At 41.2% G+C, this 25,782-nt stretch overlaps 1 protein-coding gene across 1 annotated transcript in view; it reads left to right on the top strand.

Moving 5' to 3' along the window:
- UBR1 (ubiquitin protein ligase E3 component n-recognin 1) overlaps nucleotides 1-25,782 on the top strand; it is a 163,142-nt gene that overhangs the window by 92,436 nt on the left and 44,924 nt on the right. The window contains exons 30-35 of the mRNA NM_174916.3: nucleotides 6,319-6,524; nucleotides 9,673-9,766; nucleotides 10,899-11,048; nucleotides 15,338-15,435; nucleotides 23,483-23,573; nucleotides 24,636-24,784. Of these exons, the coding sequence (NP_777576.1) occupies nucleotides 6,319-6,524; nucleotides 9,673-9,766; nucleotides 10,899-11,048; nucleotides 15,338-15,435; nucleotides 23,483-23,573; nucleotides 24,636-24,784 (788 nt within the window). The remainder of the gene's footprint in view (nucleotides 1-6,318; nucleotides 6,525-9,672; nucleotides 9,767-10,898; nucleotides 11,049-15,337; nucleotides 15,436-23,482; nucleotides 23,574-24,635; nucleotides 24,785-25,782) is intronic.

Raw genomic sequence — 25,782 nt, 5'->3', positions numbered from 1 at the left:
ATTTACACATCAGTTCACTTATTTCACATTATTATTTCTAATAAAAATGACTGCAGTTATTACATTATTGGAAACAAATTCTTTGCCTGAAAAAGGTGGCTTATACAAGTTTTTCTTTTTTTCTTAGAAGAAAGACATTGCCTATAACTACAGGTATGGATAGCACCTTGGAATTGGAATCAGTAAATCTGGTTTTCTGAGTTCTGACTGTGGTATGCTCTTAGAGAAATTGGTTAATTTTCTGAGCTGTGCTTTGTGGGCTATTATACAGTGATAAAAGGGAGGAGACATAATGTTACTTTGAACAGCATTCCAAGAAATTTAAAATATTGAAAGTACCCACTTTGGCCCTTTTTAAAGACAAGCTTTCACTGCTGTTTAAAACAATATGTGTTGAGGGCTGTGAGCAGTGGCTAACCTCTGTAATCCCAGCACTTTGGGAGGCCGAGGCAGGTGGATCATCTGAGGTCAGGAGTTCGAGACCAGCCTGGCCAACAGGCAAAACCCCGTCTCTACTAAAAATACAAAAATTAGCCGGGTGTGGTGACGCGTGCATTTAGTCCCAGCTACTCAGGAGGCTGAGGCACGAGAATCACCTGAACTTGGGAGCCAGGGGTTGTAGTGAGCAGAGATTGTGCCACTGCACTCCAGCTTGGGCAACAGAGTGAGACTCCATCTCAAAAAAAAAATCTTGTGGATACTTTTAGAAAATTTTGGTTTTGGAATACTAGTAGGCACAATACATCCTATCTGATATGTATCTTTAATCTTGAAGCTGAGTATGCTAACAAGGACCATAAAGAATAATGATTATATTAGTGATTAAAAATAAAAAGATATGAAGGTATGCTTTCCTTGGCTGACTATAGGGTAATAAAACTGGAAATTTTAAATGACAAGCCAAAGTCCCACCTCTAGATATTATGTATTAACAACATACTATTTAGAAATAGTGAGAAAGAAACTACTGACAATAAAATAAGAAGGTGTAAGCAAAGGTGTACTCAGAGTTCATTTATGGCCTTAATGCTTTCATTATTTATTTTTATTGCTTGATTAATTGGACATGTGATTTTTGAATGTGTTCTTATTGAAAGCAATTTAAATAATGCAGGAAGTCCCCCTTTGACCATCTCTGCATTACTGATCTTTCTCCACACATAACCATGATTACAAATTATCATTGTTCTTAGACCTCTTTCTATGCATTTATAAACATGTATACATGAAGAAATAGTGAGGCTTGTTTCGTGTTTTCTAGTGGTTTTTCTTTTTTAACCATACATTTTGTCTGCAGCTTGCTATTTCAGTGTCTTAGGAATCTTTTGATATCAGTACATGTCACTCTATAATGTAGATTCTTTTTTTTTTTTTTTGAGACGGAATCTCACTCTGTCGCCCAGGCTGGAGTGCAGTGGCACGGTCTCGGCTCACTGCAAGCTCCACCTCCAGGGTTCACGCCATTCTCCTGCCTCAGCCTCCCGAGTAACTGGGACTACAGGCGCCCGCCACCACGCCTGGCTAATTTTTTTGTATTTTTAGTAGAGAGGGGGTTTCACTGTGTTAGCCAGGATGGTCTTGATCTCCTGACCTCATGATCCGCCCACCTCGGCCTCCCAAAGCGCTGGGATTACAGGCGTGAGCCACTGTGCCCGGCCTATAATGTAGATTCTACATCATTGTTTATGACTGCTGCATAGTGGTCTCTGATGTGGTTATATAATAGTTTATTCATCTGACTTTAGACATTTAGGTTGCTTCTAATTTTTCCTTAGAACTGTTCGTGAGAATCTTTTTGTATGTGTCTCCTTGTGGAACTCTGCAAGTACTTAGTCAAGGAGTCCAGTAAGTGAAAGGGCTGGGTTAAAATTTTTATAGATGTGGCCACATTACCATCCAGAGTGGTTTTACTAGTTTCTGCTCCTGATAGTGTATATACGTGCCTAATTTACTTTGTTCTCACTAATACTTAACTATTTTCAGTACTTGAAAATGTGATATTATTAAAATTACAGATTTGTGCCAATCTGGCTGAATTTCCCCAATTGCTATTTAGTACTAGGTTGAGCAGCTTCTCATATGATTATTCACTGACCTTTTACATTTTATCCTCTGGGAATTGCCTATTATTATTCTTTGCCCATCTCTATTGGGTGCTTTCCTCTTGTCTTACTGACTTATATAAGTCTTAAAATTATTAATACTTAGCTTTGTTACATATGTTTACCATATTTTGTCCCTGTTTCTTTAACATTAATTATGGGGTTTAGCCATAGAGAAGTGTGCAGTGTTGATAAAGACAAATTTATCAGTCTTTTAGAGTTTTAACTTTTTGTATTAATATCTTGTTTAAGAAAGCTTTTCCTATTCCAAAGTCTCAAATATATTCTCTCATATTTTTTTAACCAGTTTTTTTTTTTTGAGATGGGGTCTCACTATGTTGCCCAGGCTAGAATGCAGTGGCTCTTCACAGGCATAATTATGACACACTACAGCCTCAAACTCCTGGGCTCAAGTGATCCTCCTGCCTTACCCTCCTGAGTAGCTGGGACTATGGGCGTGTCACCACACCTAGCTAAAATTTTAATTACATAGTGTTACACACACACACTTGAGATGGAGTCTTGCTTTGTCGCCTAGACTGGAGTACAGTGGCGTGATCTCGGCTCACTGCAACCTCCGCCTCCTGGGTTCAAGCGATTCTCCCTTCTCCACCTCCTGAGTAGCTGGGATTACAGGCTCCCACCACCACACCTGGCTATTTTTTTTTTTTTTTTTTTTTTTGTATTTTTAGTAGAGATGGGGTTTCACCATTTTGGCCAGGCTGGTCTCGAACTCCTGGCCTCAAGTGATCTTCCCACTTCAGCCTCCCAGAGTGCTGGGATTACAAGGCGTGAGCTAGTGTGCCCAGCCAAATTACATAGTTATATTTCCTCTTGAAAACTGAATGTCAGAGATAAAGCTAAAGTTCCATTTGAGCACCAGCCCAAATCCTGGACTTCTTTCTGCTCCTCCTCAGAGGTTCTCTGGTTATAAGTTTTATGTGTATCTTGCCAGAATTTTTCCTATGTTATTAATACAAATATATGTAGCCACAGAAATTATAGCGTGTCATTCAGCCTTTGGTTTTATTTGCATTGATAGTATTATGTCCATATCACTCTACAACTTCCCATTTTCACTCTGTAGTATGTCTTGGAAATCTATGTATGTTCTTATATACAAAACAAGCTCAGCGTTTTTCAGTCTTGGCATTTAGGCAGCTTTTTTTTTTTTCATGTAGTACTGTCCTGTGAATTGTGGGACTGCATCCTGCGCCCACTAGAACCTTGTGACAATCAATAAGTAAACCTTTCATAATTTATTGCTAGATGCCTCCTAGGAGGTGGTACCACACTTAGTGAGTCCCACCTTTTAAAAACTGCAGAGTAGGGCGGGCGCAGTGGCTTACGCCTGTAATCCCAGCACTTTGGGAGGCCAAGGCAGGCAGATCACGAGGTCAGGAGTTTGAGACCAGCCTGGCCAACATAGTGAAACTCCGTCTCTACTAAAAATACAAAAAAATTAGCTGGGCATGGTGGCAGGTGCCTGTAATCCCAGCTACTTCAGAGGCCGAGGCAAGGAGAATCACTTGAACCTGGGAGGCAGAGATTGCAGTGAGCCGAGATCGCGCCACTGCACTCCAGCCCGGCAACAGTGCAAGACTCTGTCTCAAACAAAATAAAACAAAAAAGCTGCAGAGTATTCTATGTTAGGTAAGTTCATCTATATATGATGATTAATATTTATTTATTGTTCAATGATATACTATAGTTCAGGGAGCTTCTTGCACAGACAGAGACAACATTGTATAGTAGTTCAGAACATGGACTGTGAGCCTAGATTACCTGGATTAAATCCTGGCTCTACTACATACTATTGATGAATCATTGGGTTGAGTCTTTTGTTGTCACTAGGCCTCAGTTTCTTCATCTGAAAAGTGGAAGTATCACAGGATCCTTAGGGTGTTGCTTTTCCAGCCAGAAACCTCTGTGGCCAGTGGCACCTTTGCCAGAATTTTGCTTGGTCTTTCTGGGCTCATCCTGCCCACTTGGCCTGGCAGGCTGCACTTGACTGACACTACCAGCCTGGATCCCATGCCTGCCAAGGGCAAGCCAGGTGTGGAGTGACCAGGGGTGCATAAGCGGGCACCTGCAGGGTCTGGCCACTGCACACAGCCAGGCACGCCAGCTGCTGTGCAGGGCAGGGAGCTCTAGGCACAGGGACAGGGGCCAGCTCTGTGCAAGCCTGCAGCTGGATCATATGCACCAGCAGGTTCCGCTGCAGGGACTCTTGTCTGGACAAGGGGAATATGGTGGCACCTGGCAGCTCAGAGATGCCAGAAACTGTGAAGCCCCAAAGAGGGTGTCACAGCCCTGGCTCAGGGAGCCCCTAGGTGTGGGCTCCCCAAAGGACCACAGCTCTTCTCTCCTTCTTGTCACCTGCAACGTGGCAAGCTTTGGGTGTGGGCATTTCAGCCCTGTTTATGTTACTAGCTCTTTCAGTCCTGCCATTTGGTGGTTCCCGAGTTCTTGTCCTGCATCCAGGAAGAATGAGGTACACGGACAACTGGAGGGTGAGCAAGGTGGAGAGCTTTATTAAGCAACAGAACAGCTCTCTAGGGACCCAAAGTGGGTAGCTCTTTCTGCAGGCAGGTCATCCCAACAAGTGTCCAGCACTCAGTGGAGAGGAGATCCAGAGTGGGTATCTCCTTTCCACAGGCAGGTCATCCCAGCAAGTCAGGAGACTTGAATTGGGTAGCTCCTTCCTGCAGCTGTAGTCTCCATGTGAGTCTGGCTGAGTCTGGGGTTTTTAGGGGCTTCAGAAGAGAGAAAGTGTGTGCTGACTGGTTCATGGACAGACCCGGAGAAAGCACCATAAATTCTCACCCCAGGCTGTGGATTCCACCTGTAACTGACATACCGGTCCCCAGGCTTCAGGCCATTCCTGGCTTGGGGACCCATCCCTTTCTGCCTAGGAACCTGTCTGCCTCCTGCCGCCATCAACATATCATCCACAACTCCCTGGCTGTTTGTGCCAAGGGGCACCTGCAGGCCCATGCTGAGCCACCTGTTTCCTCTTGGCCTTCCTTCCATGCTTATCAGCACCCAAAGACCAGAGGGGTCCAAGGCAGGAGGGGGCTGACATGTCAGCACCGCCCCTAGTGTGCACACACCTGGCCGGGGCCGCGGCAGCGCCTGGGCTTGGCCACAGCTTTGCTCCAAAATCGGAGCGGGCATTGGGAGTGCGGAGAGGCTCAGAACACGCACTTCTGAGCTGGGCAGTTGCAGCTGTGCCCGGGAGCACGGGGCTTCTGCCCTGCAAACTTGGAAGGGGTGGGGTTCCCTCCTGTTCCCAACCCAAGGGCTACATGGAGCACGTTGCCCCAGCCACGCCTCCACTGCTGCAGCGACATCTTTGCAGGAGCTGCTCTAGACAGAATAATACCACCTACCTCATAGGATTATTGTAAGGATTGAGTAAACATGTAAAGTATTTGAAACAGTGCCTAGCTTCACAATCAGCATGTTACAAATATTTGCTATTATTTAAATATTATTGTACGCCTCAGTAGATCTTGAGTTTTGCCCAGTCAGTAAGAGTAGATTCTAAGAATTGCTGAATCATTAAGGTGTAAGTTTTTTAGTTTGAATAGCGACCAAAATAGAATAGAAACCTAAATGCCTAATGACAGGGAATGGATAAAAACTATTATGGCACATACAGTAAGAGCTGTGCAACCATTTAAAATGTTTCTGAAGAAGTTTTAATGATGTAAGATACTATAAGTGAATAGAGCAGGATGCAGATCTGTGTAATGTGATCTTATTTATATGAAGAAGTATATTATAAATAGAAAGCAGACCTAGAAGGAAATATACAAGGTTACTAGTAGGTATCTCTAGGTTGTGGGAATATAACACTTTTTTATACTATTATAGATTTTCCAAAATTTATTCAATAAGCCTGTATTACTTTTATATCCAGAAAAAAAAAAAAGCCCAGCTTATTGGTATAGTAAATTAAGTAAAATTATAATATACATTCCATTTTATCATCTGTTTTTTGCACTTAGCAACACTTGTATTTTGTAATAAGCAAATAACTGATAAAAGCCACAAAGGAAAGGGGGAAGCTTTTAACTTAATATTGCTAAATATCATTTTTATTTTTATTATCTTTCTTATATTTCTTGCCTATAGTTACTTAAAATCTACCAAAATATGAAGACAAGTGACCAAAACATGTGTCCTCATTTCTGATCATTTCTTTTGGTAGCACCCCAGCAGTCAGTGACTACTCTAGAATTGCTTTGGGTCCTAAACGGGGTCCATCTGTTACTGAAAAGGAGGTGCTGACGTGCATCCTTTGCCAAGAAGAACAGGAGGTGAAAATAGAAAATAATGCCATGGTATTATCGGCCTGTGTCCAGAAATCTACTGCCTTAACCCAGCACAGGGGAAAACCCATAGAACTCTCAGGAGGTATGTATTATTTAATAAATATCCTTTTGTGCATTTCTTTTCATGCCTGTGTAATTAAAGAAAATACTATTTGAAAAACATTTGGAAATAAGGGTTATATATCTACCATACCATTATCATATTTAAGAAAGTAATAATAATCCAGGAATATTATCTAATATAAAATCAATTTTTCTCCAACAGTTCTCAAAATGTCTTCAATTCCTAGACTTTTTTTTTCACTTAGGATCCAAACAAACACGTGTTGCTTTGGCTATATTTCCTTTACTCTATTTTAATCCAGATTAGTCCCTCCTTTTTTTATGATAGTAGCTTTTTTGAAGAATTCAGGCCACTTGCTTTGTATAATGTGTCACATTCTGAATTTATCTGATTGTTAAGTTGCCTCCTGATTAGAATCATGTTAAACATTTTCTTGGCAGGAATGCTAATTAGATAATTTATTGCACTTATTACATCAGGAATTAGCTGCTTTAGCATCATTATTATTTTAAAATATCCTTGGAATAGGCCAGACATGGTGGCTCACGCCTGTAATCCCAGCACTTTGGGAAGCCGGTGTGGGTGGATCACTTGAGCTCAGGAGTTTGAGACCAGCCTAGGCAACATGGCGAAACCTCGTCTTTACAAACATATTAGCCAGGCATGGTTGCATGAGCCTGTGGTCCACAACAGGGTGAGACCCTGTCTCAAAACAAACAAAACAAGCTCCTTGGAATAATAGTGATAATAAAGACTAGCATTTATTGAAAACTTAACATTGCCAGGCACTTGTTAAGTGCTTTATGTGTATTTACTTACTTAATCCTCACAACAGCCCTATGAGTTAGTTATCACTATTAGTTCCATTTTATAGATGAAGGACCTGAGGCACAGAGAGGTCAAGTAACTTACCCATGGCCATGAGTTACAAGTGATGAAACCAGAATTTGAAATCCTCAATCTGTGCTTTTCTTTTCTTTTTTTTTTTTTCTTTTTTTTTTTTTTAGTATTTATTGATCATTCTTGGGTGTTTCTCCGAGAGGGGGATTTGGCAGGGTCATAGGACAATAGTGGAGGGAAGGTCAGCAGATAAACATGTGAACAAGGGTCTCTGGTTTTCCTAGGCAGAGGACCCTGCGGCCTTCCGCAGTGTTTGTGTCCCTGGGTACTTGAGATTAGGGAGTGGTGATGACTCTTAACGAGCATGCTGCCTTCAAGCATCTGTTTAACAAAGCACATCTTGCCCCGCCCTTAATCCATTTAACCCTGAGTGGACACAGCACATGTTTCAGAGAGCACGGGGTTGGGGGTAAGGTTATAGATTAACAGCATCCCAAGGCAGAAGAATTTTTCTTAGTACAGAACAAAATGGAGTCTCCCATGTCTACTTCTTTCTACACAGACACAGTAACAATCTGATCTCTCTCATTTCCCCACATTTCCCCCTTTTCTATTCCACAAAACCGCCATCGTCATCATGGCCCGTTCTCAATGAGCTGTTGGGTACACCTCCCAGACGGGGTGGTGGCCGGGCAGAGGGGCTCCTCACTTCCCAGACGGGGTGGCTGGACAGAGGCGCCCCCCCACCTCCCAGACGGAGCGGCTGGCTGGGCAGGGGCTGCCCCCCCACCTCCCTCCCAGATGGGGTGGCTGGCCGGGCGGGGGCTGCCCCCCACCTCCCTCCAAGACAGGGCGGCTGGCCGGGCGGGGGCTGCCCCTCACCTCCCTCCCGGATGGGGCGGCTGGCCAGGCGGGGGCTGCCCCCCACCTCCCGGATGGGGCGGCTGCCGGGCGGGGGCTGCCCCCCACCTCCCTCCCGGAAGGGGCAGCTGGCCGGGCAGAGGCTGCCCCCCCACCTCCTGGACCGGGCGGCTGCCGGGCGGAGATGCTCCTCACTTCCCAGATGGGGCGGCTGCTGGGCGGAGGGGCTCTTCACTTCCCAGATGGGGTGGCTGCCGGGCGGAGGGGCTCCTCACTTCTCAGACGGGGCGGCTGGGCAGAGACACTCCTCACATCCCAGATGGGGTGGCGGTCGGGCAGAGACGCTCCTCAGTTCCCAGACGGGGTCGCGGCTGGGCAGAAGCACTCCTCACATCCCAGATGGGGCGGCGTGGCAGAGGTGCTCCCCACATCTCAGACGATGGGTGCCGGGCAGAGACACTCCTCACTTCCTAGACGGGATGGCGGCTGGGAAGAGGTGCTCCTCACTTCCCAGACTGGGCGGCTGGGCAGAGGGGCTCCTCACATCCCAGACGATGGGCGGCCAGGCAGAGCCGCTCCTCACTTCCCAGACGGGGTGGCGGCTGGGCAGAGGCTGCAATCTCGGCACTTTGGGAGGCCAAGGCAGGCGGCTGGGAGGAGGGGGTTGTAGCGAGCCGAGATCACGCCACTGCACTCCAGCCTGGGCACCATTGAGCACTGAGTGAGCGAGACTCCGTCTGCAATCCCGGCACCTCGGGAGGCTGAGGCAGGCAGATCACTCGCGGTCAGGAGCTGGAGACCAGCCCGGCCAACAGGGCGAAACCCCGTCTCCACCAAAAAAATGCAAAAACCAGTCAGGCGTGGCGGCGTGTGCCTGCAATCCCAGGCACTCTGCAGGCTGAGGCAGGAGAATCAGGCAGGGAGGTTGCAGTGAGCCGAGATGGCGGCAGTACAGTCCAGCCTCGGCTTTCACAACTTTGGTGGCATCAGAGGGAGACCGGGGACAGGGAGAGGGAGAGGAGGGAGAGGAGGGAGAGGAGAGGAGGGAGAGAGAGAGGAAGAGGGAGATCCAATCTGTGCTTTTCTTAATGAGGTTATAATTCCCCTAAGTATCCCTTAAAATTATTATTTATCAAATTACTATTAAAATTAAAAAAGTAAATTATCTTGGAAACATAGAAGATCACTTAAATAACCAAGATAATGCAGATTAAACCCAATATTCAAGGTTAAAAAGTAAATCAAAGATAGAGTTATTAATCCATACTAATTTTAGAATCATATCTGACAGGCTACCTTTATGCTTTTCTCTTTTGTTACTATTACTTTTCTCTTTTTGTTACTATATATCCTCCTATCATGATATTGTGACACTTTGCTTGGACATTCCTAAGACAGTTTGTGATTAGACTTTGGACCTGATAACCTGTCTCTCTTTTTCCCTCCTTTTTATACCTTGTACCAGAAGCCCTAGACCCACTTTTCATGGATCCAGACTTGGCATATGGAACTTATACAGGAAGCTGTGGTCATGTAATGCACGCAGTGTGCTGGCAGAAGTAAGTTGTCCTTCTGACATGTTCTTGAAAGAGACTAGGAACATTGAAGTTCACTCAAGGCCACAAAAAGGCATGTTTTCTCATGTCTTCTTTCCTTTCTTCTTATTTGAATAATTGAAACAGTTTTAATTACTAATTCTGTTTGCATGAATTATTATTATCAAAGTTGGAAAGTGGTGTGTAAAGTTACCAACTTTAGATTTTCACTGTTCCTTTGTGCTTGCTCTCCATAAACTAATCAGTTGCTCTTCATCAGTATTCATGTAAAAAAAGTAATAATTGGCCGGGCGTGGTGGCTCACACCTGTAATCTCAGCACTTCGGGAGGCCGAGGCAGGAGGATCACCTGAGGTCAGGAGTTTGAGACCAGCCTGGCCAACGTGGTAAAACCCTGTCTCTACTAAAAATACAAAAATTAGCTGAGTGTGGTGGCACATGCTTTTAATCCCAGCTCCTCCGGAGGCTGAGGCAGGAGAATCGCTTGAACCCAGGAGGCAGAGGTTCCAGTGAGCCAAGATTGCGCCATTGCACTCCAGCTTGGGAGACAAGAGCGAAACATCGTCTCAAAAAAATTAATAAACACAACAAATAAATAATAAAAAAGTAATCTTTATAAAAATCTAATTTCTGTCAAAACATACAGCTGTGAAAAGTACCTTTGAAATAGAATAGGATGAATAGGACAAGAAGTTCTCGTTCTATCTCTGGAAAATATAAAATTTCAAAAATGTAATTCCTGAGAAATCTTTTGTGTAGAGTTTACCCATTTGGCTTTAGATTACAATATATAATTTTTCCATGATAGCCCTCACTACTTCAGTTCATCATTAGAAACTGAGGAAAGTAGTGTCCATGCTGTATCACCATGCTGTTGAGGCAAGAGATGAGTTATGATTCAATAAACTTATTTTAAATTTATATCTGCTCTGATGTATTTTCCAATTTGTCCCCAAAATAATGGGCAACCTGTTTCTTCTATAATTACAACTTGTGTGTTTTTGCATGTATGTTCTAAAGATGTTTATTGGGGCAAAAATTCCAGATTTTTAAAACTTGGATTAGAGCAAGTAGAGATACACATGTAGAGATGCATGTGTAGTTCTGAATGGGCCTGTGTCTTTGTAATTTTGCAGGTATTTTGAAGCTGTACAGCTGAGCTCTCAGCAGCGCATTCATGTTGACCTTTTTGACTTGGAAAGTGGAGAATATCTTTGCCCTCTTTGCAAATCTCTGTGCAATACTGTGATCCCCATTATTCCTTTGCAACCTCAAAAGATAAACAGGTATATTTTAATTTATGTTTTGGTTAATTTTTTAAAAGTTGGCCAGGTGCAGTGGCCTGTGATCCCAGCACTTTGGGAGACTGAGATGGGCGGATTGCCAGAGCTCAGGGGTTCGAGACCAGCCTGGGTAACATGGTAAAACCCCATCTCTACAAAAAATACAAAAAAAAAAATTAGCCAGGTGTGGTGGCACACGCCTGTAGACCCAGTTACTTGAGGGGGCTGAGGTGGGAGAATCACTGGAGCCCAGGAGATTGAAGCTCCAGTGAGTCGAGATTGCCCCACTGCACTCCAGCCTGGGTGACAAAGCGAGATCCTGTCTCAAAAACAAATAGAAAGTTGTCTTTAGTTCTTTAATTTGTGCCTGTTTTTGTTACATTACTGTTTTTTATTCTTTAAAGGAATTAATACTTTTTCATTTTATATCTTGTATTATACTTTTAAAATGTGATCAAAAGCCTAATTTTTGGACTCTAAGAGAACTAGAATGTTTATTTACTCAAATCTTTACATTGTGGTTATATTTTCCAGCAGCCATTGAAGTAATAGAACTCTGACTTCTGCCTTAGCACTCACAAAAGGAGAAAAGATGCAAAAAAAATTCATTCCTTTCATATGGCCCTTTGCCATCATTAGAGTTGCCAGTTGGAGTCTGATAGCTCTAATGATCTTTGTATTATTTTTAATTTCATTTTTCTGAAGATCCAAATGCTATAGCTCTAGAGATATGGACAAATGTTAACTAAAAAAATTAAATAGAAACACTAGATTTGTTTTTATATATCTCTCTTTGGGTAGTGTTTTAAGCATTTTGAGTTTTTAAATTTTTATATTCTGATCTGTAAATGGAATTAACAGCAAATTATTATTTTTTGTATAACATCTTGGAAATTTAATTATATATTTCTATATTCTCACTGTTGTACATGATGATAACAGTAGTATAATATTTATATTATTTCAGTTGCTTTAAAATGCAATGGATTTGTAATGGTAAACCTAAATTCTCCTAAAGAAAATGGTTTTGTTGATAAAAATACCTTTATGTCCCCATAAAAGTTCAAAGGTGATAGGTTGGGCGAGAAGGGTCAATATAAAGACTTGCTCTGGCGGGACGCCATGGCTTACACCTGTAATCCCAGCACTTTGGGAAGCCGAGGTGGGCGGATCACGAGGTCAGGAGTTGGAGACCAGCCTGGCCAACATAATGAAACCCGTCTGTACTAAAAATACAAAAAAATTAGTTGGGTGTGATGGTGGGCACCTATAATCCCAGCTACTTGGGAGGCTGAGCCAAGGAGAATTGCTTGAACCTGGGAGGTGGCAGTTGTAGTGAGCCAAGATTGAGCCATTGCATTACAGCCTGGGCAACAATGTGAGACTCCGTCTCAAAAAAAAAAAAAAAAGAATTGCTCTAACCTTGGCTGGGCACAGTGCCTCACGCCTGAATCCCAGCACTTTGAGAGGCTGAGGCAGGCAGATCACCTGAGATCAGGAGTTTGAGACCAGCCTGGCCAATATGGCAAAAACCCATCTCTACTAAGAATACAAAAATTAGCCTGGCATGGTGGCACATGCGTGTAATCCCAGCTACTCAGGAGGCTGAGGCACGAAAATTGCTTGAACCCGGGAGGTGGAGGTTGCAGTGAGCCGAGACCATACCATTGCACTCCAGCCTGGGCGACAGAGCTACACTCTGTGTCAAAAATAAATAAATAAATAAAGAGTTGTTCTAATCTCTAATATTCCATGTCATTGATAAACCTAAATTGAAATTGTCTTCTTCAACGTATGTGGTAACATGAGAAAGAATTATCTTTGATTTGAGTAATTAATATATTTTAGGCATTTTACCAAGCAAATGCTGCATTATCTTATTTAATTATCACAGTAGTCCATTGAAGTAGGTACTGTTATTTCCATTTAAAGATAAGGAATTGGAGACTAGGGATAGTTTTTACTTGTCCCAAGACAGACCTAATATTCAAACCCAGACCTGACTCCAAAGCCTTACCTAACTATACAGCAGAAGACAAAGATAAAGGAAATCATAATAAAGTGACTTTCCAATTTCTTGTACAAGCCTTTTTTACACAGTGGCTCCCCCAAAATAGGATTATTAAACTATGTAAATTGTTCTCTAACAGAATATTTAGCTACTTCTTTCCTTGATGACTTTAAGGATCAGATGCTTCAGAGCAGTTCTTTCTAAATTCAGAAAACTGATCCTTAAAACTCTTAGAACTAGTTAAAGGTCTCTTAGAACTCTGGCACACTTTTAATCTATAGTAACAATTCTGTTACTCAGGATCTGAAATACATGATTATACATAGCAGTTTTATTAGATACTTCGACTTACCCATATAGTTGATTATATTTGCCTTTTTTGGATTTTAGGAAATCAGCATGAATATAATCTAAGATAGTAAAGATAAAAGCATATAAAAACTGTCAAAACTAAGATTTTGATTAAAAATGTATAATACAAACTTACGAAAAAATTTAAAACTAATAAACTGGTATCTGTAAAGAAAATTGGTTATAACCAGTCATAGTACATTTCCATTTTTTGAAAACAAAAAAAACTTCTTAGGTCAAATTTGTGCCCAGATAGGTAAATTTTGGCACAGTTCATTATATATTTTACCTTTGCTCAAGACTATTCTTTCAATAAAAAGATTCCTATTTTATTTTTAATAACACTGTTTCTAGTCCTTCTTGGTTTTTTTTTTTAGATAGGGTCTCACTGTGTGCTGGAGTGCAGTGGTGTGATCTTAGCTCATTTCAGCCTCAACCTTCTTGGGCTCAGATGATCCTTCCACCTCAGCCTCCCAAGTAGCTGGGACCACAGGCATGTGTCACCACACCCCACTAATTTTTGTATTTTTTGTAGAGACAGGGTTTCACTATGTTTCCCAGGCTGTTCTCTAACTCCTGGGCTCAAGCGACCCACTCACCTCAGCCTCTCAAAGTACTGGACTACAGGCCTGAGCCACTGCACCCAGCCCTTCTTTGTTCTTAATAACAGTCTGTCTCAAGTCCCTGTCCTTACGTCCATTTTAGGAAGGAGAGACTGGCAATAAAAAAATAAAACAAAATGTTGAGTAGTGAGGAATACTATGAGAAAGCTAAAGCAGTAGGTTAAAGGGCTGAAGACAGACTGGGGCATGAGGCTATTTATAGACAGAGTTGTCAGGGAGCTCTTCTCTGAGATGGTGACATTTGAACAGAGACCTGAATAAAGTGAGGAATAATCACTGCTTTTCTCTGGGAGAAAAAAATTCTAAGCACAGGCTATATCAAGAGCAAAGGCTCGGTTGGGTGTGGTGGCCCACGCCTGTAATCCCAGCACTTTGGGAGGCTGAGGCGGGCGGATCACGAGGTCAAGAGATCGAGACCAGCCTGGCCAACATGGTGAAACCTTGTCTCTGCTAAAAATACAAAAATTAGCTGGGCGTGGTGGCAGGCACTTGTAATCCCAGCAACTCGGGAGGCTGAGGCAGGAGAATCGCTTGAACCCAGGAGGCAGAGGTTGGTTGCAGTGAGCCAAGATTGTGCTACTGCATTCCAGCCTGGCGACAGAGTGAGACTCCATCTCAAAAAAAAAAAAAAAAAAGCAAAGGCTCCAAGTTTGGAACCCCATGATCATGTTTGAGTCACAACAAGAAGGCAACATGGAATGGAGCAAGCAAAGACCAGATCATAAAAGGGATTATGAGCAAAGATTAGAAGTTATATGATCCTATTTACATTTTTAGAAAATTCTTCTAGCTGCTGTATGATGAATTCATACTTAAATGAAACACAAGAGTAGAAGCAGGAAGAACACTTAGGAGTCTATTTAAGTAATCCAAGTGAGGGCTGATGTGACTTGGATTAGGGGGTAGTAATGAGAGGTAGGAAGAAGTGATGAACTTGGGATATATTTGAAAGATAAAACCTGCAAGGTTAATTAATAGATTAGAATGTGGGGTGTGAGGGAATCAGAGAAATCAATGACAACACCTAGTTTTTGACTGGAGCAACTAGAATGGTGATTCTATTTACTGACATTTACTACCTGTGGGTGATTGGCATGTGGGTGGTGACTTATTTCTTGTAAGTTTAAAATTTCCTTCCCCTTCCAAAAAGCTACATTTTTAGACACATGTTTCTGTGACCTAGGAAATTAATCTGGAGGAACTCAACTTTTTTATATGACCATTTATCCAAGGAAATAATACAAATTCAGCTTTTCCATTTGACTTTGTACCCATGGTTGTAATAATTTTTAAATATCATTTTTCAGTGAGAATGCAGATGCTCTTGCTCAACTTTTGACCCTGGCACGGTGGATACAGACTGTTCTGGCCAGAATATCAGGTTATAATATAAGACATGCTAAAGGTTTGCTTAAATTTATTTTATATTAGCTATGTGAAGATGGTGTCAGAATCTTTATTTTTTTAAATAATTATTGGGCTAAAATATGGTTTGCAAGTACAGATTTCTTGAATATCAGGAAATAGAAGTTTTTGAAGCTAAAAATAAGTGGCTTAAATTGCTTTATTAAATTTAATCGTTTTTCATACTAGGAGACAATACAGACAGTGATTATACTATCAAGTCCATCTATCTGATTATTCCAAGCAGTCAAACTGCTTAGATTTAAATCTTAGATCCAAGATTCATCTAAATCACTAAGATCCACTTACTGATTATGTGATCTTGGGCAAGTTACTTAAGCTCTGTGTGCCTCAACTTCTTATTTGCAAATCGGGGATAATAATATTATAATAGTACCTATTTTATTGGTTGAAGGATTAGCAGAGTTATTATATGTAAAGTAGAATAGTCCATGGTACATAGTAAGTGCTACATGTTAGCCATTACTATTACTAATACTATTAATGTGTGGTTAGTAATGTTTGTAATAACAAAAACATTTTAAAACTATCATCTTATTTACATATTCTTTACAGTTGTGAGACAAGTATGGCTATTAATGGAGATGTGCTTAAAAGGATAAAGTGGGAATTTTTAAAATACAGTGAGGAAAAGTTGTCTTTTGTTTAGGCCAATGGTCCCCAACCTTTTTGGCACCAAGGACCGGTTTTATGGAAGACAGTTTTTCCTCGGATGAGGGGGATGGTTTTGGGATGATTCAAGTGCATTACATTTATTGTGCATTTTATTTCTATTATTATTACATTGTAATATATAACGAAATAATTATATAACTCACCATAATGTAGAATCAGTGGGAGCCCTAAGCTTGTTTTCCTGCGACTAGATGGTCCCATCTGGGGGTCATGGGAGACAGTGACAGATTGTCAGTCATTAGATTTTCATAAGGAGTGGGCAACCTAGATTCCTCACATGGGCAGTTCATAGTAGAGTTTGCGCTCCTATGAGAATCTAATGTGGCTGCTGATCTGGCAGGAGGCGGAGCTCACGCGACAATGCAAGTGATGGGAAGCGGCTGTAAATTCCGATGCAGCTTTGCTCACCTGCTGCTCACCTCCTGCTGTGCAGCCCATTCCCAAGGTTCCCAACAGGCCATAGACTGGTACTCGTCCATGGCCCTGGGGTTGAGGACCCCTGGTTTAGGCAGTGAAATCAGTAGGGTGAAGGCAAAGTCCAGTATTTAAAAAATTATCTTCTCATCCCCTCTTTGGATCTAAAATTGATGAAAACCATACCTAGAAAATATTCAAGAATATTTCTAGGTATTCTACTCAAAATATTTATGTCTTATTTCTACAATTCATATCTTTCTGTATTTATCCACATTTTCCCTGATTATTTTACCCTCTGTTGTGATTTAATTATGTCCTTTCAGTTACGTACTTTTAAGGAAAATGAAGGATGTATACAAAAGCTACAGAGGAAGAAATAGCGGTGATGGTTTTATTTCTCATCACCATAGTCTAAGTTACAAAGGTTTTTTGTTTGTTTTGTTGGGGGGGTTTGTTGTTTTTTTGTTTGTTTGTTTAGACAGGTCTCGCTCATCACCCAGGCTGGAGTACAGCTCACTGCAGCTTCAACTTCCTGGGCACAAGTGATCCTCCCACCTCAGCCTCCCAAGTAGCTGGAACCACAGGCTTACACCACCACACCCAGCTAATTTTTAAATTTTTTGTAGAGACAAGGTCTCGCTGTGTTGCCCAGACTGGTCTCAAACTCCTGGACTCAAGCAATCCTCCTACCTCAGCCTCCCAGAGTACCAGGATTACAGGCATGAGCCAGTGTGCCCAGCCTAAGTTATCATACAAAGTTTTATGTTCCCTGCCTCGTTGACCTCATATGTGTGCATGTTACGCAGTTAAGAATGATACAAGAGGAAATAGCATTAACAGCCAGATTTTATAGTATAAAACAATAGGACTCATAGGATTTTTAAGAAGGAATTGATCAGTAGGGGCTGAAGTAGTAAGGGAAGATGTCATGGAAAAAATGAGATTCGATTTGACCTTGTATAAAATTTGGATGTGTGGTAGGGATAAAGGAGAACCCAGGTGGAAAACAGAAATGTTTTTAGGGAACTGTGAGCATGGCATTTTCAGAGACATTGAAAAAGCCTGGCCTACCTTAGTTGAGAGTACACAGTGGGGAACAGTGGAGAATATGGGGCAGTTGTGGAGGTTTGTAAGAATTTGGACTTGGTCATGTAGAAACACAGAATGATGGAAGACAACAGTCAGCAATGAATGAGTCTGGCAACGTCCTGTCAGTTTCCCCTCCTCCTTCATTTTATAACAAAACCTTTACCACAAGTGCTAATGAGATAACAATCTGTTGGGTGGAAAACTCTTCTAACAAAAGAACTTATATTTGCTAAGAAGTGATTTTTGGCATGTACTTAACTACTTTGCTACTTGTTTTTTTTTGTTTGTTTGTTTGTTTTGAGATGGAGTCTCGCTCTGTCGCCCAGGCTGGAGTGCAGTGGCGTGATCTCGGCTCACTGCAAGCTCCACCTCCCGGGTTCACGCGATTCTCCTGCCTCAACCTCTCGAGTAGCTGGGACTACAGGCGCCTGCCACCGCGCCCAGCTAATTTTTTTTTTTTTTTGTATTTTTAGTAGAGACGGGGTTTCACCGTGTTAGCCAGGATGGTCTTGATCTCCTGACCTTGTGATCCACCCGCCTCGGCCTCCCAAAGTGCTGGGATTACAGGCGTGAGCCACCGTGCCCAGCCTTTGCTACTTGTTTTAAGCACCGAGAAGCAATTCAGTACAAGAGATTCTTCTTAATTTTTATAGTAATTTAAAATGACTTTGACATATGTGAATTTAGTTTCTTTTTATTTAAAAAAATGTAGAATGACATGTTGGTTTTACATCATGATTTTTAGGTCTCAAAAATTCAGCCTTAAATCAGTTTTTTTATTGTTATTTTGGCCTCTAAATGTTTAATTGGAGGTCTCAAACATGGCATTAAGTAGAAATATCACTTTATTAGCAGTAGGACCTCTGTGACCGTCTAAAGAAGCATAAGAGTGATTAGTATCTTTTAAACATATTCACTAATTTACTTAGAAGCCTATATTTTTAAGGGAAGAAAATACTGAACATAAGCTAAGGAAAAACTATTGAAATAGAGAACTTTAAAAAAGAAATCATGGAATGATTAAAAATTTTTGAGCAAGTGACTAGCATTTATTCTGGTAGCTTTTTAGTGTGGGAGTGGTGCCGCAGATAGATTGCAAGAGTGAGGAGATAACTCAAGAAGATTAATCAGGAATCAGTTGCACTGGTCCTACCATGACATGGTGAGAGGTGGTGGTATTAATAGTAAGCATTGACAAGTTTGCTCTGAATGCTTATTGAATGACTAATTGTTTGGGGAAAAGAAACAGCCAAGAGATTGTAAAGGAAGGATTGCAGAGAATGTGTAAGCATTTTATCTATATTGCCTACAAATATGGGGAGGTTAGGAGAAAAGACAGATAGTAAATTCAGTTTCTATTTATTTTCACGCTGTGTTGTTTTGGTACATAAGTAGAATTAAACAAAAACATAGTGATAGTGGGAGATAGTTTTATGGCTGGTCAAGTCATCCTAATAAATAAGGACTTAGAGAATTTTTAAAATTAAGCTTGATTTAGTAATATGTTCTACAGAAGTTTGTTCCTATTGGAGAATATATTTTTATCAAATGCCCACGGATTTTTTTTTTTTTTTTTTTTTTTTTTGAGACAGCGTCTTGCTGTGTTGCCCAGGCTGATCTTGAACTCCTGACCTCAAGTGATTCTCCCACCATGGCTTCCCAAAGTGTTTGGATTATAGGTGTGAGCCACTGTGCCTGGCCTTTCCATGGATTATTAATAACAGATTGGTTAATAAATTAGGCCATGTAAGAATCTCAATAGTTTTCAAAAAGGGAAATTATGTACGATACTTATACTATCCACAATACAATAAAATAATACTTAACAAAAGAGAGCTCAAAAACCTAACAAATTAGGAATTTTAAAATACTGTTCCATGTAACTGTTGAATGCAAGGAAAAAGCTAGAGAGAGATGGAGAAATCAGTGACTATTTAGCAATTAACAATGAGAACAACACAGATCAAATCCATGGAGTATGGCCAAAACCATGCTTAGAAGACAGCTCATAGCCCAAAAGAGACAATGCTCAGATTGGGTTTATTCTAACAGTGCCTTGATGGAAACTTCTTAAATAAATAGGTTAAAGATGAAAACTAATATGGTCATTACAGCCTTTTTTTTTTTTTGAGATGGAGTCTCGCTCTGCCCCCCAGGCTGGAGTGCAGTGGTGAGATTTTAGCTCACTGCAACCACCGCCTCCCAGGTGTAAGCAATTCTCGTGCCTCAGCCTCCTGAGTAGTTGGTTGCCCGCCACCAACACCTGGCTTGTCATTGTAACTTTTTAAAAGACATTTCAAGCTGGGTGCAGTGGCTCACGCTTGTAATCGCAGCACTTTGGGAGGCCGAGGCAGGCAGATCTCTTGAGGCCAGGAGTTCAAGACCAGCCCGGCCAACATGGTGAAACCCCGTCTCTACTAAAAATACAAAAATTACCCAGGCTTGGTGGCCCGCGCCTGTAATCCCAGCTACTCGGATGGTTGAGGCAGGAGAATCTGAGGCATGAACCGGGGAGGTGGAGGTTGCAGTGAGCCGAGATTGCACCACTGTACTCTAGCCTGGGTGATACAGCGAGACTCTGTCTTTAAAAAAAAAAAAAAAGACATTTCATAAAATCCAATCTCTAATTCCTCATACTTTCACAGGATACAAAAAAACCACAGCAGCTGAAGTCTCTGAAAAGTAGACTAGCAGGCAGATGGGAACTAAAGTCAAAATTTAAGAATTATCATTACGGGTAGTGAGTTTCCTGAGGCTTTTTCTTCCTTTATTTCCCAACTTTCACTCAAGAACAGCTGAGTCCTAGAACTGTACAACAAGCATGAACAGCAAAAATCCATGAGAAATGCCATCTCTTTCTGGTCAGAGGATCAGGAAAAGAAGCCCCTCATAGCCAGAATATAAAAGGAGTGTGTTTATTTTATTTTTCCTCTGGTCTTCTCCCAAGGCCAGCCTCAGGCATAGAGCTGCACAGCCATGGTGGCCATGCAGATGCCCATAATCTCAAGAGAAAACCAGTCTCTGTGGTGAGGAACTGGGAAAAGGAGCTCCTGTGTTCCAAAGAGTACAAGGTTAATCTTCATCATTTTTTTCTGTCTTTGCCTCGTGGCTTCACGCCAAGGGCATCCGCAGTCATAAATCTGACTGACAGCATGGGAGACTAAAACTGAGAAAAACATGTCATTCTGGCCAGAGAAACTGGGGAAAAGGGCCCTTTGGAGCTAGAAAGTGGGAGGACTGGGGTGGGAAATCCCCAAGAGGAGAGAACTATAGAAGGGGACTCTCATATTTTTGAGGTCCACACAAGTCCTGGGCTCACCTCCAAGCTGCACATGTGCAGAATAGGCTCAAAGAGGCATAGCCAAAGTTTTGAGAAGTAAGCTTCATTTAAACCATCACTCAAGTCCCAGGCTAACCCCCCGAGGAGTACATGTGCTGGGCAGATCAAAACACCACAGCACAGGCTCTGAAAACTAACATTGGAATCACCATCCACAGAGGATGAGACAGAACTGGTTGAACCTGAGTTTATTGCCTTCTAAAACACTTTAAAACTGTTCATGTTTCCAGAGGTTTTTAACAGGACCAGAACCTCCCAATGTAATATTCCAAATATACAAGATAATATCCAGAATTACTTGACATACAAAGAACCAGAAAAATCTGACCGATTCTCAAGGGAAAAACAACCAAATGCCAATCCTGAGATGTTTTAAATGTTAAACTTATCGAAGAGTTTTAAAGCAGCTAGTTAGCCTTAAACATAAGGTGAAGGTAAACACTCTTGAAAGAGTTGAAAGATAGAAGTTATCAGAAAAATAGGAACTAAAAAAACCAACCGTATGGAGATAATAGAATTGAAAAAATACTGGATGAAACAAAAATTAACTGGATGTGCTCAATAGTAAACTAGAAGGCTGAGCACAGTGGCTCAGGCCTATAATAACAGCACTGTGGGAGGTTCAGGCAGGAAGATCACTTGAGGCCAGGAATTCAAGACCAGCCTGGGCAATATAATAAGACCCCATCTCTAAAAAAATAAAAAATAATAATAATAAAAATTAGCTCTGTTTGGTGGTGTGTGCCTATAGTCCTAGGTACTTGGGAGGCTGAGGAGAGGATCGCTTGAGCCCAGGAGTTTGAAGTTACAGTGAGCTATAATCATGCCACTGCAGTCCAGCCTGGGCAACACAGCAAGGCTATGTTGTTTCAAAAATACATATACTAGACTGGAGATGAGGTAAAGTGTCCATGAATGTGAAATTAGGTCAGTGGAAATTATTCAGTCTGGAGAACAGACAGAAAAGAGATGGGGGACAAAAAAATATATCCTTAGGGGTCTATGGGACAATTTTTTTTTTCAACCTGACATTTGTGTCATTGAAGTCCCAAAAGGAAGGGAAAAATAATGCAGAAAAAATATTTGAAGAAATAATTGTTTGAAAATTTCCCAAATTTGGTGAAAGACAAATTTGCAGATTCAAGAAGTTCAGTAAATCTCAAGCAGATAAGAAAACCACACTCAGACACATCATAAAGCAAACTGCTGAAAACAAAAAATAAAGAGCCAGGCACAGTGGTGCGTGTCTGTAGTCCCAGCTATTTGGGAGGCTGAGGTGGGAGGATGCTTTGAGCCCAGGAAATTGAAGCCAACCGGCAAAACATAGCGAGACCTCATCTTTTTTTTTTTTGAGATGGCGTGTCGCTTTGTCGCCCAGGCTGGAGTGCAGTGGTGCGATCTCGGCTCACTGCAGACTCCACCCCCTGGGTTCAAGTGATTCTTCTGCCTCAGCCTCTCAGGTAACTGGGATTACAGGCACCCGCCACCACGCCAGGCTAATTTTTTGTATTTTTAGTAGAGATGAGGTTTCACCATGTTGGCCAGGCTGGTTTTGAACTCCTGACCTCAATTGATCCTCTCACTGCGGCCTCCCAAAGTGCTAGGATTACAGGTTTGAGCCATCATGCCCAGCTAAGACCTCATCTCTTGAAAAAAAAAAAAAGATTAAAAATCTTGAAAGCAACCAGAGAAAAACAACCCATTTCATGTCGGGAAATAGCATTTGAATTTGACAAGGAAATGGAGCTACAGAGAGGTTTAGCTTTCACACAAGGTTGCAGTAACAGTAAGTGGCAGAGCTAGGATTCAAACCCAGGCAGCTTGGCTTCAGATCATTTACTCTTATTCACTAACATATGCTGCCTTATCAAGAGAACATTTATGCAGTCATTAAACATGGCAAAATAGAGGGAAAGTTACTGTTATAGAAAGATGTTCATGATCTATTAGGTGCAAAGGCAAGATGCAGGCTAGTATTATGTCATCCTCTTAAAAAAATTCTATATATGTAATATTTATATGGGGAACAGAAGAATATCACCCAAATGTTAACAGTGGTTATCTGGATGGCGAAACTTCAGTTAATCATTCATTGCTTATTAGCATATTCCAAGTTTCCTAAAATGATCATGTATAGTATTAAAAAGCTAGAAAGCTTGGGCACAGTGGCTCATGTCTGTAATCCCAGCACTTTGGTAGGCCAAGGTGGGAGGATCTCTTAAGGAGTTCAAGACCAGCCTGGCCAGCAGAGGAAGACCCCATCTTTACAAAAAAATTGTTTAAAAACTAGGCAGGCATGGTGGCACATGCCTGTAGTCACTTGGGAGGCGGAGATTGGGAGGATCGCTTGAGCCTGGGAGATGGAAGCTACAGATGATCATGCCACTGTGCTCCAGCATGGGTGACAGAGTGAGACTGTCAAAAATAAATAAATAAATGCTAGAAAACTGTATGTCAGACTAAACTCATTCATGATTTTTCTTTCTTTTTCCTTTTAATTTATAAGGAGAAAACCCAATTCCTATTTTCTTTAATCAAGGAATGGGAGATTCTACTTTGGAGTTCCATTCCATCCTGAGTTTTGGCGTTGAGTCTTCGTAAGTATCTAAATAGTTAAGAGAACTTTGTAAATGATTGTGAAAATAAGAGTAGGAAACAGTGTAGGCTTCCATCTTTCCTTACTTTTTTATTTGTAAAATAGTTTATCCCATTATCTTGTTTCTTTCTCGTTTGTTTTATTTGTATTAACAAAATGAAGTGGTTTGAGATATTAAAGTAATATATATTAAGGTGAACTATGCCTCTGAGTAACCATTTTTAACCAACAAAAATGCCAGTTCTCTGTGGCCCTACAAGAGGACCAAAAATGCCAATTCTGTCTGGTCCTACAAGAGGACCAGAATTATGAGACTTCATTTAAAATTACATCTAACTTGCTTTGTGACTTTCTGAAAAGTCTCAGGTCACTCCATGCCACCACCCGTTCATTTTTCTTGCATGTAAAATTGAGGCAATGGCCTTCTATCCTGCCTCATTAGGTTATTGGAGAGATGTAATGTACCCAAATCAGATATTATTATTTCATTAATATTGAGTATCCAGGGTAGTTTTTCTAGTTGTGATCCTTGTTTATCTATCCCATTGCTACTGAAAATACTTGTTATAAATGGAAGTTCAGAAAACTGGAAATTATCACTCCAGGTACATGGTATCATATCACACATACACACAACACAAACACATACACATACCTATCAACACAAAAGTACTTCTTTGGTTCCTTTTCCAAGCATCAAAGCTTGTTAGGTTAGATCTGTTCCTCTGAATTTTATTCTTTCTGTGTTCAGTCTGGTTTTTAATTAGAACCTGAACCCCTTCTAGCTGTGAGCATTTGCTGCATCTTTTACAGGAAGTGAAGTTATGTAGGTCATTAGCATTTTATAAGAGCTGTTTCTCTACCTTTAGAAAATACAGTTCTGCTCTTCCAATTTTTTTCCAACTGAATAAATCTTTGGAGGCTCTAATCTCTAATTTGGCAAAGAGCAGTTTACTTATGTTGAAAGCAGTTAAATTGTTTCTGTTGCTTCAGGACTTAATTGGACTTCTTACTAAGTAGCTCCTTTTACTAAATCATACAAATTTTCTTGTTTTATTTATAGGATTAAATATTCAAATAGCATCAAGGAAATGGTTATTCTCTTTGCCACAACAATTTATAGAATTGGATTGAAAGTGCCACCTGATGAAAGGGATCCTCGAGTCCCCATGCTGACCTGGAGCACCTGCGCTTTCACTATCCAGGCAATTGGTAAAGCTCATAAGAAAACTGGTTTGGAGGTTTCAGTGAGAATTAACTTTGATCATTCATTCTTAAATTCTTTTTTTCACTGATGGCCCAGAATAATTTGACTTGTATGAGGACTATTAGTATTTCAGTGTATTAGTGTGGCTCATGCCATTTGGTCTGGTAATTTTTTTATGTTGATCTCTTTTTAACTATGATTGTGGCCATATGCAACATAAGTTAAAAAAAATATTTTTAAAAAGCTGGGCACGGTGGATTATGCCTGGGAGGCTGAGCTTTGGGAGGCTGAGGTGGGAGGATAACTTGAGAGCAGGAGTTTGAGACCAGCCTGGGCAATACAGCAAGATTGTCTACAAAAAATTAGCCAGGCGTGGTGGTATGCACCTGTAATCCTAGGTAATCAGGAAGCTGAAGTGGGAAGATCATTTGAGTCCAGGAGTTTGAGGCTGCAGTGAGCCATGGTTGCACCACTGCACTCCAGCCTGGGCAACAGAGTGAGACCCTGTCTCTAAAAAGTGTGTGTGTGTTCACACACACACACACACACACACATATATTCCTTTAGTATCTATATTAAAGGAACAGCATGATGTAAGTTATAGAGGTTCAAGGAAAAAAGAAAAGAATCAACTCAGAAGTGTTCAGTAATTTTTCTTTCTTTTATAGTTTGAGAGAAGAAGTGAGGGGAAACCAAAGTCACCTAAAAATTAACGGAAAGGGGAAAGGAAGACTGAGGCAGTTTAAGAGAGATTAGCAGGCAGAAACCAGCTCTAAAGGGAAGCCTACTATCAAATTCTCTGCCATATTGAAAATTTTGCACAGAAAAATGTAGCAGTGAGGGATCACTTAGATTTTTTAAGTTAGTGCATTTGTTCGTTATAGGGACAAGGTGCAATATTACATGGAAAAAATTAAGAATGGTGATTCTTCCCTATCTTTATCCAAGCCAACTTTGATTTCCCTTTCAATATATATATTTTTGGTAATTGTTTTTAATGGAG

Source organism: Homo sapiens, chromosome 15 (assembly GCF_000001405.40).
Source record: "Homo sapiens chromosome 15, GRCh38.p14 Primary Assembly".
Lineage (NCBI taxonomy): Eukaryota > Metazoa > Chordata > Mammalia > Primates > Hominidae > Homo > Homo sapiens.
The sequence above is the reverse complement of the archived record's forward strand: the minus strand, read 5'-3'. Positions and strand labels throughout refer to the sequence as shown.